At 38.5% G+C, this 17,071-nt stretch overlaps 1 long non-coding RNA gene and 1 pseudogene across 2 annotated transcripts, besides 2 other annotated features; both read left to right on the top strand.

Annotated features, from left to right (window-relative positions):
- Positions 1-1,246: 1,246 nt before the first annotated feature.
- Positions 1,247-11,375, top strand: LOC102724379 (uncharacterized). 2 transcript variants are annotated; one of them, XR_007059913.1, is made up of 3 exons: positions 1,247-1,741; positions 4,188-4,249; positions 10,083-11,375. It is a non-coding gene; the product is annotated as an uncharacterized LOC102724379 (long non-coding RNA). The 2 variants fall into 2 exon arrangements; XR_001743974.2 differs by lacking the exon at positions 10,083-11,375 and adding an exon at positions 7,002-7,033 and having other exon boundaries at positions 4,188-4,268.
- AMD1P4 (adenosylmethionine decarboxylase 1 pseudogene 4) lies at positions 7,148-8,421 on the top strand (annotated as a pseudogene).
- Positions 14,879-14,948: an enhancer, noted in NCBI's record as "active region_23997". NCBI's record gives its function as "activates an Ori minimal core promoter by ATAC-STARR-seq in GM12878 lymphoblastoid cells {active_cell/tissue: GM12878}" and the evidence as "EXISTENCE:reporter gene assay evidence [ECO:0000049][PMID:35858748]".
- Positions 15,029-15,108: an enhancer, noted in NCBI's record as "active region_23996". NCBI's record gives its function as "activates an Ori minimal core promoter by ATAC-STARR-seq in GM12878 lymphoblastoid cells {active_cell/tissue: GM12878}" and the evidence as "EXISTENCE:reporter gene assay evidence [ECO:0000049][PMID:35858748]".

Raw genomic sequence — 17,071 nt, 5'->3', positions numbered from 1 at the left:
TCCATGCCCAGCTCTTCTACTGACATTAGGGGTGACCTTGGGGGAAATTATTTAACTGTTTCCTGCCCAGTGAAATGTGACACTTCAGGGCATTGCAAACACATTCCTGAGGTTTGTAGGTTCTTTGCAGATTTTTGAGCAGTGATGGGTTGCATGGAGTTCTTTCTTCTGTTCACTTTTCTACATGAACACCTGAGGCCCTTTATCAAAAAAATGCCAGCTGGGCATAGTGGCTCACGCCCGTAATCCCAGCACTTTGGGAGGCCGAGGCAGGCGGATCACGAGGTCAGGAGATTGAGACCATCCTGGCTAACACGGTGAAACCCCATCTCTACTAAACAAAATACAAAAAATTAGCCGGGCGTAGTCGTGGGCACCTGTAGTCCCAGCTACTCAGGAGGCTGAGGCAGGAGAATGGTGTGAACCCAGGAGGTGGAGCTTGCAGTGAGCCGAGATCGTGCCACTGCACTCCAGGCCTGGGCAACAGAGTGAGACTCCGTCTCAAAAAAAAAAAAAAAAAGCCAATAAGGAGTTCTAAATAGAAGCCACTTCTAGTATTAATGGTATCGACAACGGCATCATCTCCCAGAAGGAAAAGCAATGAGTGAACACATAACAGTGCTCTTTCTTGTATGTATTATTTTCAACCCATTTGCAGGAAAATCTATTTTTTTCTGTAAAATGAGCCAAGCATGTCTATGGCACATAAAAAGTACCATTTCTTCGTTTCCCATAATATCATATAGCAAATTGCATAAGAACACGGACTGGAGTTAGACTCCCTGTGTAACCTTACTCTGACAGGTCCCTTCAACTCCTCTGTGCCTCAGTTTCCTCTCTGGTAAAAATGTGCTCATCTCTTGGGCTTGCTATGAGGACAAATTCGTGCACACATTTAAAGTGCTTCGAACAGTGCCTGGCAGCTAGTAAGCATTCCAGAAACGCTTGCCTTTATTGTTGTTCTTGCTGCCATTAACGTGATGAGCCCTAGGAAAGAGTGTATGTTGCTACATTTAGAAAACAAAGAGAAATTGGTTGTCTAAGGTGGAAGAAGTAAGTCAGTTACCAAAAAAAAATAAAAGTGTTTCTTTAATTAATTCAAAAGGTTGGAAGAGGGAATAGACTTTGGCCAGTCAATGGAACAGGAATCCATAGTTAGATGCCCTCCAAGAATCACATGGACAACAATAAACATTTCACAATATTACCTCATTTTGTACTTAAGGCTGCAAGTGTCTTCTGCTATGCTGATAGCAGGAAACTCAGCTTCAACCAGGAGAAAGGGTTTAATTCATTTCAGAGCTGTAGCCAACCCAGGCGGGTACTTCAGATGCAGCGCACCGTGCCACGGTCACCAGACGTCCATGTGGCTGTGTCCAGCCAATGGCCTAATGTGCACCATGATCCAGTGAGATCAGGAATGCTTGCAGCGACTTTCCTTCTCAATGCAGCCCCTTTTACCTTTATTAGGAGTACTCAGCACCTTCTTAGACACGGCTCAGATTCAGGGCCCAGATCTGCCACAGCTCGACCTCAGATATCCCTTTTGATGACTGACATTGTTCATGGCCCAGGGATATGCTTCTCAACATCTTTGTCTAATGTCCTTGAAACAGTAAATGACTGCATCTGAATGCTATGGAAATTCTGGGGTTGCATCCCTGTTGTCAGCACAGACAAAAGCACTACTCCAGAGTATAGGGAAAATTTAAGTGGTGAGATCTTTTGGGAGACAGAAAAGGTAAGTTAATTAATTTGCCAAATCCTTCTATTATTTTCCATTAATTGATTGATTTTTTTTGATACAGGGTCTCACTCTGTCGCCTAGACTGGAGTGCAGTGGCCTGATCTTGGCTCAGTGTAACCTCCACCTCCCAGGCTCAAGCAGTTCTCCTGCCTCAGCCTCCCAAGTGGCTGGGATTACAGGCGCCCACCAACACGCCCAGCTAATTTTTTTATTTTTAGTAGAGACAGGGTTTCACTATGTTGGCCAGGCTGGTCTTGAACTCCTGACCTCAAATGATCCACCCACCTTGGCCTCCCAAAGTGCTGGGATTACAGGCATGAGCCACGGCACCCGGCCCAATCCTTCTATTCTTGTACAACAAAATACTGTTTCTCAGTGTTGCCCAGCATTCATTTCCTGCTTCTCCTCCTGTTTGTGGTTCTGCAGGTACTTGGGAATTAACAAGGTCTTTTCAGTAGTTGCACATAGTAGCTAAGAGACATTTTGCTATGTTAAACAATCATATTATTTTAAATTTATATATAGATCTAGAGGTTGCTTGAGTGATACCAGTGCTTTATGTTGGCAACTAGATAGATATTGAAAGCTAGAACTGTGAATGGTTTTATTAAAACACTTAATAAGTGTAAAATGTTAATACATTAAGTTTTATTTTAAAAGTTGATACGTATTAATCATAATTTCTATGTAAACAACTTATTATACATTTTGATTTCATGTAACACAATTTCTATTTTTTCTCTTAGTTTTAATAGAAAACTAACTTTTGGAAGAAAGATAACAATAAAAAATAAATATTTAAATTTTTCAATTTTAGTATTTATTTAAATTTGCTCTTAGATAAAATATATTTATATTTTGTATATATTGCATACAATTACATTTTTAATTCTTTGGTTTATTCTTAACCATAGAACAAACTATATGGAAATCTTTATTATAACAACATTATTGGTGTCTTTGCCGAAATGAAGGCAAGAAAAAAAAATATGGAGTATATACACAATACCTTAAGAACTATGTGTGTCTTTACAGTTCAACCAAACATGGCCAACCTGTTCACAGGACACCAAGACATCTATGATAATAATTAAAGTCTATTTTCTTTGATATTTCTTTTGATATTTTAGAAGATAATTTTTAGTCATCTAAAAACCATAGCTTTGCACATCTTCTTTTATTGTGTCTTTATGAATGTGTATTTCTTATGGTAGGAGGCCAGTACAGTTGATTCTTGTTATTTGTGGTAGTTGCATCCTATAAAATCACAGGGAGCACTGAATTATCAAATACTGAACAATGGCCGTGGGGAAATGCATGGTTAGGTTCCTGGTCACAGCATTTTTATCAACTGATGAGTACATAAACTGTTCCCGTTCAAAGACATCTTATTTAACATATATTGTTGATTTCATTAATGTTGAACTCAGGGCTAACAGCACTATCACTCATGTCTGAGCGATGCCCATTGTATGTTCTCCATAATGCTCATCACAGCCTCCCTGCAGTTAGGGGCACTGTATGGCAGCGATCCCCTACCTTTTTGGCACCAGGGACTGGTTTAATGGAAGACAATTTTTTCACAGACCTGGGGGTAGGAAATGGTTTCAGGATGATTCAAGCACATTACATTTATTGTGCACTTTATTTTTATTATAATTACATTGAAATAGATAATGAAATAATTATATAACTCATCATAACGTAGAATCAGTAGGAGCCATGAGCTTGTTTTCCTGCAACTAGACAGTGCCATCTGGGAGTGATGGGAGACAGTGACAGATCATCAGGCATTAGATTCTCATAAGGAGCACACAACCTACATCCCTCGCATGTGCAGTTCACCATAGGGTTTGTTTTCCTATAAGACTCTAATGCCACCACTGATCTGACAGGAGGCAGAGTTCAGGCAGTAATGCGAGTGATGGGGAGTGACTGTAAGTACAGATGAGGCTCCGCTGACTCACTGGCCACTCACTGCCTGCTGTGAGGCCCAGTTCCTAATGGGCGATGGACCAGTACCCTGCTGTCTGGCACTTCAGCGTGACACTTGGGGCCATTCTAAACAGCAAAACTACCAACAAAAAGCACTAAAACTTGAAACACGTGACACTAAATAGACCATAAAAAGGACACACATTTACCAGATAAGAGCTGAAAGGAGGAGGCAGAGCTTCGCCTTGTTCATTTCAGCTGGGAACATGCGCATTGGCAACTCAAAATCTTTGCCTTCCTTTACAGTCTGTGAATGTCCACAACAGTGACTCAAGAGCTGATTTTGGGACTCCAAATGAATTTTAGCTAGTAGGCAAATTAGCAAATACAGAATGTGAGAATAATGCAAATCAACTGTACATATTTTATATAATAGTGTGTTAACTTGATTTATACTTTTAAATACTTAGTCATATGGTATGTGAACTTCTGTTTGTATTCTTAGGCCCTACAAATGTGAGGAATGGGACTGGAACACAACATTTGTTGCTGAAGTTACATATTTTGGTATGTTTGATAAATTTAGGTAAATATCATAAGAGAGATAATTCATTTTAGAATAGAATTTTTTAAAGACTAATTTAAATGCTAACGAAAATCTGCTGCAGCCAATATTCTAACAGAAAAAGTTAAAAAGATCCAAAAGTGTACTGTGCTGTTTTTCTAAGTGTATCATAAATTTTAATATTAAATGAATGTGTCTCCTAATAGTAGTAAAATAAGAAAGAGTGTTGTACTCAAAGCAGGGTGACACACATTAATTTTTGCATTTCAGGCAGCTGTAAGCAGTTTTGTGCCACTGGAAGAGAGAAAAATGATTCTGGTTGTGAGGAACAGACACAAGGGATTAGGCAAAGGATAACTCAAACCAGGCAACTTCTTTTTTTTTTCTCTCTTTGCATTTTTTTATTTTTATTTTTTTAAATTTTTTTATTATACTTTAAGTTCTAGGATACATGCGCACAACGTGCAGGTCTTTTACATATGTATACATGTGCCATGCTGGTGTGCTGCACCCATTAACTCGTCATTTACATTAGGTATATCTCCTAGTGCTATCCCTCCCCCCTCCCCCCACCCCACAACAGGCCCTGGTGTGTGATGTTCCCCTTCCTGTATTTAAGTGTTCTCATTGTTCAATTCCCACCTATGAGTGAGAACATGCGGTGTTTGGTTTTTTTGTCCTTGTGATAGTTTGCTGAATGAATGATGGTTTCCAGCTTCATCCATGTCCCTACAAAGGACATGAACTCATCATTTTTTATGGCTGCATAGTATTCTATGGTGTATATGTGCCACATTTTCTTAATCCAGTCCATCATTGATGGACATTTGGGTTGGTTCCAAGTCTTTGCTATTGTGAATAGTGCCACAATAAACATACATGTGCATGTGTCTTTATAGCAGCATGATTTATAATCCTTTGGGCATATACCCAGTAATGGGATGGCTGGGTCAAATGGTATTTCTAGTTCTAGATCCCTGAGGAATCACCACACTGTCTTCCACAGGGGTTGAACTAGTTTACAGTACCACCAATAGTGTAAAAATGTTCCTATTTAGGAACTGTCTCCAAAGCTGGCCCTGGAGAGCCCCAATTTCTCAGATGGTAGCAATGAAGAAAGGGGGTTGTAAATCAGCTAGCTGTAGTTTAGAGACTAGAGGTTGTCAGAACCATGGTAACCAATGGATTGTTTGTGTGAGGCAGGGTCGGGGAGTAGATCAATAGAGAAACAGATAGTGTGCATAGGTTGATGACTGGACAGATTTTTTTAAGTCACCTCTAGTCCTATTTGTTTATCTTTACTTTTGTTGCCTGTGCTTTTGGTGTCATACCCAAGAAACGTTTCTGTGTATCAAAGGAAACAATCAGTAGAGTGGAAAGGCAACCTATGGAACGGAGAAAATATTTGCAGATTACATAGTGGATAACGGTTTAATATTCAGAATCTATAAAGAACTCTTACAACTCAACAACAAAAAATCCAAATGAGCAAAGGATTTGAATAGACATTTCTCCAAAGAAGATATACAAATAGACAACAAACATATAAAAAGATGTTCAGTATCACCAATCATTAGAGAATGCAAATCAAAACCACAATGAGATATTGCTTCATATCCATCAGGATCACTACCATAATAAAAAACACACACATAGAAAATAACAAGTGTTGGTGAGAATCTGGGGAAATTGGAAATTTTCTGCACTGTTGGTGGGAAAATAAATGGTGCAGCTGCCATTTAAAACGCTATGGAGATTCCTCAGAAAATTAAAAATAGAACTACTATATGATTTGGCATTTCAATTTCTGGACAAATATCCAAAAGAACTGAAAGCAGAATATTGAAGAAATATTTGCACACCCATGTTCAGAGCACCATTATTCACAATAGCCAAAGTTGGGAACAACCCAAATGTCCATTGCCAGATGAAGGGATAAATGAGAGATGTTCTATACCTACAATGGAATATTATTCAGCCTTAAAAGAGAAGGGAATCTTTTCACATGCTACATTATGGATAAATCTTGAAGACATATGGTAAGTGAAATAGGCTAGTTGCAAAAAGACAAATATTGTATACTCCCATTTATATTAAATATTTAAGGTAGTCAAATTCACAGAAACAGAAAATACAATGGTGGTTGACAGGGGCTGGGAGGAGAGAGAAATGGGGAATTGTTCAATAGGTATAAAGTATCAGTTTTGCAAGATAAAAATGTTCTGGAGATCAGTTTCACAGCAATGTGAATACCCTTAACACTACTAAACTGGATGCTTAAACATGGCTTAGATGGGCTTACATAAAATGTCCAGAAACATTAGCTAGTGCTTATTCTACTCTCTCTAATGGGAAAGCAGTGGATTACCAGAGACTAAACTGTATCTGCCTCTATTTTGGAGAGACTCACATTCAACTCTGGCTCACAAAAAGCTGGGAAAAGTTCATGAGTCCTTTTTTTTAAAAAAAAATTAATGTAAAACTATAGCAAAACAAAAAGCAATCTGAACTGTAGTAACACAGCTGAAACCATCTGCAGCAGTGACAGCAATGGCAGGAGAGGAGGTTTAATTTAGTTGATTTTCTGTGGCTGTTGGTTTGTTCACTGGGAGCTGCACGTTTTTCCTAAGGGACCGAGAAGCTGCTAGAAGTCTGGTTCTCCTGGAAACAACTCAATGCAAACCAAGGATCTGGGGTGTTTCATACCATTCTGAGATCTGAATGGGGGCATACCTTTTTGTTTGTTTGTTTTAGGAAGAAAGTCTTGCTCTGTCACCCAGGCTGGAGTGCAGTGGCCCAATCATAGCTCACTGCAGCCTCGAACTCCTGGACTCAAGTGTTCCTGCCGCCTCGAACTCTCAAAGTGCTGACATTACAGGCCTGAGCCACCGTGCCCGGTCGAGACATTTCATTTTGAAGACATGTTGTACCACCCTCTGGCCGAAAGCACTGGTTCTCCTTTTGAAGCTTGCTAGGGATTACAATGGATTTGACTCAATTCAAAGCTTCTTTTATTTTCCTAAGGATTTCATGAAGCCTTCTCACTAAAGGTACCTGGGATTTTCAGAAAGAAATTGAGTTCCTTAAAGCAATTTTTCCAAATGGAGCAGTGTATTATATAAGACATATAAATTCTGACTGTTGGTACTTACATATTCCAGATTTCCCAGAGAGTGGGGTAGTAAGCCAGATCAAACCCTGGAAATGCTGATGAGAGAGTTTGACCTAGCAGTTAAGGGAAGATTCTTTCTCCATGAAAGACTGTGTCACTGCAGAGGATGTCACGTGGACTGGAATTGGTGCCCTGACACCAGGTTCTGTCATTGATGCCACACTGTTCAATCCTTGTGGGTAGTCGATGAAAGGAACGAAATCGGATAGCACTTATGGAACTATTCACATCACTCCAGAACCAGAATGTTCATACATCAGCTTTCAAACAAACTTAAATCAGACCTCCAGTGATGACCTGATCAGGAAAGTTGTGGAAGTTCTCAAGCCAGGAAACTGATGACCACTTCGTTTTTTTAAGATTTTTGATTTTTTTTATGTTTTAGAGACAGAGTCTCGCTCTGTCGCCCAGGCTGGAGTGCAGTGGCGTGATCTTGGCTCACTGCAACATCTGCCTCCGGGGTTCAAGCGATTCTCCTGCCTCAGCCTCCTGAGTAGCTGAGATTACAGGCACGCGCCACCATACCCAGCTTGTTTTTGTATTTTTAGTAGAGACAGAGTTTTGCTATGTTGGCCAGGCTGGTCTTGAACTCCTGACCTCAATTGATCTGCCTGCCTCGGCCTCCCAAAATGTTGGGATTACAGGCGTGAGCCACCGCGTCCAGCCCACTTTGTTAATCAGAGTTCTACACAGTGCTTTTTTGCCCCAGATGATTGAAGGTTTTAAGTGTCTTGATTGTCAGAGTGTTATGTTCAATGATTATAATTTTGTTTTTACCAGTTTTGTTAAGAAGCAGCAACAGTATCGTTGACTAAGAAAAATGAAGAAAAAATCACAAAAGGAGAACACTCATAGAAAGAGGTGGCTGCTTTTTAGATGTTGAAACCAGGGGCCATGCTTTCCATAACTACTACCTTGTAGTTTCAGAAACCCTAGATATAATGAGAGTGTAATCATTTTTGAATTGTATGTGTTATTATATCAAGTAGTTAGATATATTGCATGAATGCTCTCTTCTGCATTTAGGTATTCTTTGCCATTCTTGCTATGAAATTGAAGTGCATATAGAAAAAACCTTTTACTATATGAAATTTTACAAGGCTTGTGAAAGCAACTCAATTTGGTTTAGGCGCAGTGTAATCTTTCTCCAGGTGTCGTCCAAAATTCCCCACAGACAAGACATTTATCCTCAGCCTAACCATCTGGGACTGTCCAATTAAATTGCTGCCAGAATTTTACATCCAGTTTTATCTATTTTCCAGGATGTATTCTTTACTAATGTTATTGAAACCAATTTCTGCTTCACACAAATATTTTTTTGAAACAGCAAGTAAAGTTTTTCTTCCATGAGTGAAGTCCTTTTGAAAAAAAAAATGGTTAAGGTGGTAATTTTTTTTTTTTTTGAGATGGATTCATGCTCTGTCACTCAGGCTGGAGTGCAATGGTATGATCTCAGCTCACTGCAACCTCTGACTTCCAGGTTCAAGCAATTCTCCTGTCTCAGCCTCCCACGTAGCTGGGATTACAGGTGCCCACCACCATACCCAGCTAATTTTTGTATTTTTAGTAGAGACAAAGTATAACCGTATTGGTCAGGCTGGTCCCGAACTCCTGACCTCAGGTAATCTGCCTGTCTCAGCCTCCCAAAGTACTGGGAATCAGGAAAATTTTATTTCTACCTGTAGAGGGGGACAGGGGCAGGATGTCAATACTTGTTCTTCTGACTGTCTCTGCTTAGTACGTGAATGGTTCAGGTGGGCCATGATTAGTTCTTACTCTTTGTCCTTGTTCCTGAAATTAGTTATCTATTGCTGCATGTCAAATTAGTCAGAAAAGTAGTGACTTACAACAACAACATTTATTATTCTATTTCACAGTTATTATAGGTCAGGAAATCCTGGCTGGCCCATGGCTTAGCTGGGTCCTCTGTCTCAGGTCTTTTATAAAACTGCAATGGAGGTGTACACTGGGGCTGTAGTCATCTCAAAGCTTGGCTAGGGGGGGATTTCCTTCGAATGTTGCCCACGTGGTTGTAGGAAGGATTCAGTTCCTTGATGGCTGTTGGCAGAAGGTATGCTTCATTCTGGACATGCGGGCCTCTCCATCAGGGCAGCTCACTTGAGAGCCAGACTCATCAGAGCAAGTGAGAAGGGCCTAAAAGATGTTGGCAAGACTGAAGTCGTCATGCTTTATAACCTCCTCAAAGTGGCATTCTATCACTTTTGCTATATTTCATTCATTAGAGGCAAGTCACTAGGCACAGCCCACATTCAAGGGGAGAAGATTCTATAGGGAATGAAGACCATTGAGGGGCATTCTAAAGACTGCCTACCACACCAACCTTCACACAGATGTGTTTCATTTGGGCTCACATTTCTATTCAGTTTCTAAGGGGGAAAAGAGATTTGTAAGACATAGGTGAAGTAGGAATGGAATCAAAAGTGTATCCATGGAAATTGGCTATAGATCCAAGAAACATTGAGAGAGGGGAGCTGGACGGGTTCAGGAGTTACTGGGATTCTAGCCATTAAAAAGATGCAGGTCTATGGAGAACCCTGAGGACCTAGAGAGGCAATGCATTGGTGGGAGGAACATGCTAGTGGTTTTCAAATATCTGAAGTTATATACGGAAGAGGAATTATATTTACTTTTTTTGATTCCAGAAAATAAAGTCAGGACCAATGGGTAGCAATTACCCAAGAGATAAATTTCTGCCAGTGGAGCCATGAACCAGTGGAATGGGTACCGCCACGGTGGGTGCCCTCACTGCACGGAAATGTTCAGGAGGAGGCTGGGCAGCTGCAGACAGAGACTGAAGTCTGGAACCCTGTTCCTGCTGCTGCTAATCCCCCTGGCCTTCAGTTCCCCTGCCACAGGTAGGACTCATGCAAGTGAAAAGAGCCCAATGAAATGAGGGGCAAAGGAAAGACCTCGTCATGCCCAAGGCACGGTTGCCCTGACAAGTGGTCTTGGAGTGTGAGGCACAAAGTGAAGCCCTCCACTCTCCCCTCTCTCACCCTCCCCTGACGTAGATGGCTGAGATTGCAAGGCAGATGCAGTGCATGCAATTAACCAGCCCTGCAAAGATCAGAATTGAGAGTACTGCCTGAAGGCCAGAGCCTGTGAGTGTATACATTGCAATGAAAGAAATAGAGATCCAGTTGATTCTTAATCATTGCTGCTTAGTATTCTGGTGCGGAGATGTTTATCTAAACAGTCTAATATCGATGAAGGTACTTAGAACACTGAAACAAAATAAAGCAATATTTTGCATATAGAAAAAATCAAAGAAATGATCAAAGAGAAAAATCCAGATCTTTCATAAGAATTGATTTGTTGTTCTTATTAGGTAATACAGTCATATATTTACATAGTTCCAAAGGTATATGTTGAGTAGTGTCACTCCTGCAGATCCTACCTCCAACTCCTGACTCTATAGGTCTCACTCTTTTTTTATTGTCCTAAATATACATAACATAAAATTTATAAATTTAATATTCTAGGGTATAGTTCAGTGGTATTAAGTACATTCACACTGATGTGCAACCATCATTATCATCCATTCCCAAAACTTTTCATCACCGCAAATAGAAAAGCTGTACCCATGAAACAATAACTTCCATTGCCTCCCCCTCAGCCTTTGGTAACCTCTATTCTACTTTCTGTTTCTATGAATTTGACTGTTCTAGGTACCTCATATAAGTGGAATCACACAATATTTGTCCCTTTGTGTCTAACTTATTTCACTTAGCATGTTTTCAAGATTTATCTGTACTGTACCATGTATCAGAATTTCATTCTTTTTCAAGGCTAAATAATATTCCATTGTGTGTATGTATCATATTTTGTTTAACCATTCATTTATTGACTGACATTGGAGTCCTTTCCATCTTTTGTCTATTGTGAAGAAAGCTGCTGTTAACACTAGTGTATAAATAAATATCTGTTCAAGTCCCTGCTTTCAGTTCTTTTGTGTATATAGGTAGAAGTTGAATTGATGGGCCGTATGCTAATTCTATGTTTAATTTTTCTAGGAACATAGACAGATACTTTTATTAGTTTCTTGTTTACTGTATAGCTTCTTGTGCATAGGTAGCCACTTTTATTAGTTTATTTATGTTTTTAGTGATTCTTTATGCAGAGAGAGCAAAAACAAGCATATGTACAGCATATTGGATTGATATACTATCAGCAACACTTTTCTGAAGATATTTCCATATCAGTACGCAGAGAGCATTCTCATTCTTTTTTCTATCTTTCTTTTGGTAGCTACATAGTATTTCACTCAGTGGCTGTGCCATACTTTAATTAACTATTCATTTACTGAATGACATTGTTTTAATTTTTTATTATAACATAAATGTCACCATAAAAAATATTGCACACATATAATTATGTAAATATGAGGTGTATGTTTAGGATAGTTCCTTAGAATTGGATTACTGAGTCAAAGAGTAAATGTATTTTTACGTTTGGTCAATATTGTTAAATTGCTTTCCATGGGGAATGTGAAAATTTACACTATTTTATTGGCAATGAATGAGTTTCTGTCATGTCACATTTTTATCACAGATTTCAGATTTTTGCTACCTGCTAGATAAAATCTCATATCTTAGCATAATTTTAACGTGCGTTTCTCTTATTATAAATGAGGCTAAGCAACTTTTCAAACACTTAGAGTCTATTTGTCTTATTTTTCTGTGAACTTTCTGTTAATATCCTCTGCCCATTTTTTTTTTCTACTGATTACTGGCTGTTTCCTAAGCACCATCTAGGAATTCCTTATACACTTGAGAGATGAGCTGTTTGTCTGTAAAATAAGTTAGAAATATTTTTCCCAGTTTGCCATTTGTCTTGTGACTAGCTCAGGATGTTTTGCTCTGAAAATATATTGATTTTTATATACTTGAAATGATACCTCTTTTTTGTTTTTTTGATGTCTGGATTTTGAGTCTGCTAGAAAGTGCTAAAGGGTATTGTCTATGTTTTCTTTTGGTATTATGCTTTAATGGAATTTTTAAAAACCACATTTCTTTTCTAGAATTTTTTGAAGTTTATCTGGAATACAGTGAGAGGTAGATATCCTCTTTCATATTATTTCATCACTGCTTGGTTGTCCCCAAAACGTTTGTTAAAAACTCCTCTTTCACCCCACTGACTTGAGCTATCATCTTTACTCTCTGTTAATTTTAGGGACTATTTTGGAGGATGCATGGGCTCTCTATTCTTTTCCTCTTGTCTGTCTATATTCATGACACAGTGCCACACTGTTTAAATTATTGAGGTTTTATAGCATATTTTACAATATATCTAGTATAAATAATAACTGCTCTTCTTTATCAGTTTTCTCTAATTGGTATTTTGTTTGCAACATGCTACGTTTATAAAATAACTTAGGAGAAATTGACATCTTCGTGAGATGGAGTCTTCTAATTTATCACATTAAGTCTTTCCATTTGCTAGTTGTCACTTTTGTATCCATCAGAAATGATTTAAAATTTTCCTCATAAGGGTTATATACACTAGTTAAGATTTTTCATGGTAACTTACCTGAACTGCTATTTTTGGTCATTTTTTACACTTTATTAAGGCTATTGATTTCTGACATGTTCTACTAACTTATTGATCTAATTTATGGCTTGCAAGTGTTTTGGAAAATTCTCTGTGATTTTACACTTACATAAGCATGTTATCTACAAATAGTGATCATTTTTCCTCCTCTTGCCGATTTCATACCTCTAATTTATTTATCTTATCAAATTGCATGTTGAATACTTCCAGGGAAATGCAAGAGTAAGAGTTATAAAGGACATCTGTATCAAGCCCTGTAGTTCTCTACTGTGTGATTATCTATTTCAGACAGTATCTGTTGACTTCTACTAGGAAAAATTAAGACTTTTGCTGAAATACACTATCTTCTTTCTCTATCCCTCTATCCCTCCCTGTTTCCCAGTTTTGGTTAGTCATATTATCATTTATTGCTAACATTTATGACATTTAAATTCAACTAGCCACCTGTAACTGCCTTCCATGTTTTGTCCTTAGATATTTACTCTGAAGGAGTATTGGACTATTATAATTATAGAAACATTATTCATAAAGGAATCCATAAAAGAGTAATATGATCCTGTGCCACAAACTTTTGCTGCTCCAAGGAGAATATCCAATTAGTATCTATTTAATTCTTTTTAACTTTGTTTGCAGCTTCCTCACCTCTTCTTGGTCACACTTCATTGCACATTCTCTTATGTCTCATGTTCTTTTGAAAATTGCTTTATTTTGGTAGTAAGAAAGCCCCCGGGGAGTACTTTCATATGGGATATAGGAGTGATGTACTTTTTGAGTTACTGCATATCAGGAGGTGTTTTAATTTGACCGTGTACTTTATGATTGTTTGGCTGGGTATAGAATGCAAGGACCAAATTCGTTTTTCTTCAAAACTTTGAAGCTTTGCCACCCTATCTACTAGTGTCTTCTGTTGCTAACAGAATGTCTGACACCAGTTTGATTTGCATCCCTTGGCATGTGGCCAATATTCTTCCCTCTCTTAGCAAGTTTTTAGGCTTTTCTGTTTATTCTGCGGAATTCCAAGATTTCATTAACTTGAATCCAGGGGTGAGTTTTTCATCCACCTGCTTAATCCTTAGTAGATATTTTCAGTATTAAGACTTCTAACATTTTCAACTCACAAGAACTCTATAAAATATGATTATTATCTCCAATTTACAAATAAGTTTCAGAGAGATAAAAACAAGTGCCCCAGGTCACTGCCTGGTCTTTCCACTGAATTATGTTTGGAGTAAGGAAATATACCTGAAGGCCATGATTAAGACTATACTTGGTGCAAAATAAAAGCACTTTGATTTTACTTTAGAAAGCTGGATAGTTGCTACCTTGAAATTTTGATGTTCATAACACTAATGATTAATAATAAATTGATAAATGTATATCTGCAAGTTCTACCTATTGTAAAAACCTGAAGAAACACTTGAATAGTTACATCCATATGAGGACTCTCCCTGACTACACTTCAAGCAAAACACTTATTTTATGGTTCCCAAAGGTGAGATGGATGTAGAAACAGTGAAAATAGGATCTGTTGGAGTAGGGCAGTAGTAGCATTTGGGGTTCATCCCCTAATCAAACCCTCCCTGTTGATGGAGGAAAAAGGTAGGCTGACACCACACACACACACACACACACACACACACACACACACACACTATATATATATATATATTGTTTTCAATAAATCATAGTTGATTCTTTTAACGAATTAGAAGAATAAACAGAGAGAGGCAACACTATGTGCTCTCAATATGTCACAGATCACGGAGAACTCATGAGTCATTGTGCTTTTAAGCCAGGGAGTTCCCCGAGGTCATGCTGCAAATCAGTGGTAAATACTGAGTATTTCTTTTTAAGATATCAAATTCTTTTCCCATCATATCAGCTGAGAATAGATTTCTTTGCCTCTTTTCTCTATAGGCAGCCAGGAAATTTGCCATGACTAACAAGGATAGCACCAAATTCTCTTTAACATATTGAGCTATTTAAGCCATAAGTAAAATGACCTAGAATCTCTCACTTCCAACTTGGTGGTCAGTTCCCTGACTAGACATGCACAGAAACGGGGGATGTGTATTCTCAGGCCAACAGGGTTATAATTGCAAAGGCCACTGGTGGTTGCTCTGGGTATATTATGGGCGACATTCTCTATTGGATGGAACAAACTGTAGTGTTGTCATGTATAACCAAGATAGACGCTCTATACCAGTGTCTTTCAGCCTTGGCATTATTGAGATTTGGGGCTGGATAATTCTTTGCTGTGGGGCCTGTCCTGTGCATGGTAGGTTTTGAGCACTCCTGGCTTCTGTCCACTCGATGCTAGTTGTGACAACCACAAATATCTCCAGTCATTGCCCAATGTCCCCTGGGAAGCAAAGTCACCTCTGGTTGGGAACTACTGATCAATGCAAATTCAATAAAAATTTTTTTTTTGTAAATAACTCTGGAAAATACACAACGAGTTTTTAAAAACACATTCTACTTTTCACATCAGAGTCTCTGAAGATTATGTGCTAAAATATAAACATTCCAGGCTCTGGAAAGAGGCAAGGAATCTTTATATAAACACAGTGAACCCTTGGGACCATCAGATAGCAATAATGAAATACACACAATAAGATTCTGTGTGTCGCATGAAAAATAGTTCTCTGAGCAGATTATTAATCTCAGCCTTGTGTTACTTATAGTCACACACAACAATTAATCTCTCTGTGAATGCCTTTAAGCTTTGCAATGTTTAAACATCATCTATATCTATATATATATTCTTATTTGAAAATAGAACAACTATGTGTAAAGATGTTTCAGTCCCCAGGATGCTGTGGTTGGCACTTCCCTAAATTCTATTTTTGCTGAGAGGAGCAGCTGCCTTAAAAAAGAGACATTGAACCTTGGAATATGTTAAACCACTTTTTGCTGCACAGTTTTGCTTGGATAAATTTGCTTAATGGGCATAGCTTGTGCCCTGAAGATAATATTGTGCCAAGTGTTTGGAAGGCAAATGAAGGAATTACTCAGAAATTACTAGGGGGCTGAAATGGAACAACTTCCAGAAACTCATTTGAATTTTTTGACTGTTGCCTAATATTGACATTTCTGACTTCTGTTGATTGTATTGACAACGGAATGTTGCCTAAGTTGCCCATAAAAGACATTTTCTAGCACTAACCCAATCTGTTGTTCCAGGGTGGGGGGTGGGAGGGAAGCTAGCAGGGTGTTGAGGTGGGGAGGGGAAACAAAGTGTAAAAGGTTTCTAGTGAAAGAAGGGGAATCTTTAAGTGAAAATGGCTTATTTATAAGTTCAAAGTGTTTTCCATGCTAAGATTTTTGGAGTGTTAGATCCGTAGACATATATACATAAATGTCTATATATATATATCTATATAAACACACACCTATATATACATCCATATATATATATATATATATATAGACACAGAAATATATATAACTATATTTGATCTCTAACAATATCTAGTCCTGAGAAACAACCATCACAGAGCCCTACGGAAGATGAATCCTGTTTGACTTGTGGGATGATGAGGTTGTAAATAAAATCGTTCTGTTTTTTAGTGTTTTAGTAACACCTCTGTAAGGCCATTTGCTAAATCAGCCGGTCCATTAATTAATTAGCCAGCCAGTTGGCCTCAAAGGATCTGGAGGTCTGCAGTAGGATAAGGCTCCAAGCTTCCTGGAGGAACACGTGTCCAAAAGCTTGAATTGGAAAAAAAATCCACCAACCCAAAAATCCTGACTCCAAGTCTCTTTGCTGGCCAGCACTTCTGAATATTTATAAGACTCTGATTTAGAGGAGGAATAAACAAGGAATACATATACTCCCCAAGAGAGTGGAGAAGACATGGACAGCTCCTTTGTAATAGCAGGACAAAGAAGATGTGAATCAAAGTCATGAAGAAAGCCGGCATAGCTTGAAAGAAGGAAGCTCCTGCCAGAAGTTCAAGGCTTTGATAAAACCCTGAGACGCCATTTTTAGGCCTCTGCCTGGTCTAACCTGTTAGAAAGGGAGAGGGTGCATCCTCTCATTTCTCCCAGCTCAGGAAATAGAAAATTCAAAGGAAAACTT

The sequence above is a fragment of the Homo sapiens genome, chromosome 6 (genome assembly GCF_000001405.40).
Source record: "Homo sapiens chromosome 6, GRCh38.p14 Primary Assembly".
In the NCBI taxonomy this organism is placed as follows: Eukaryota; Metazoa; Chordata; class Mammalia; order Primates; family Hominidae; genus Homo; species Homo sapiens.
This window is presented reverse-complemented; position numbering and strand designations above follow the sequence as displayed.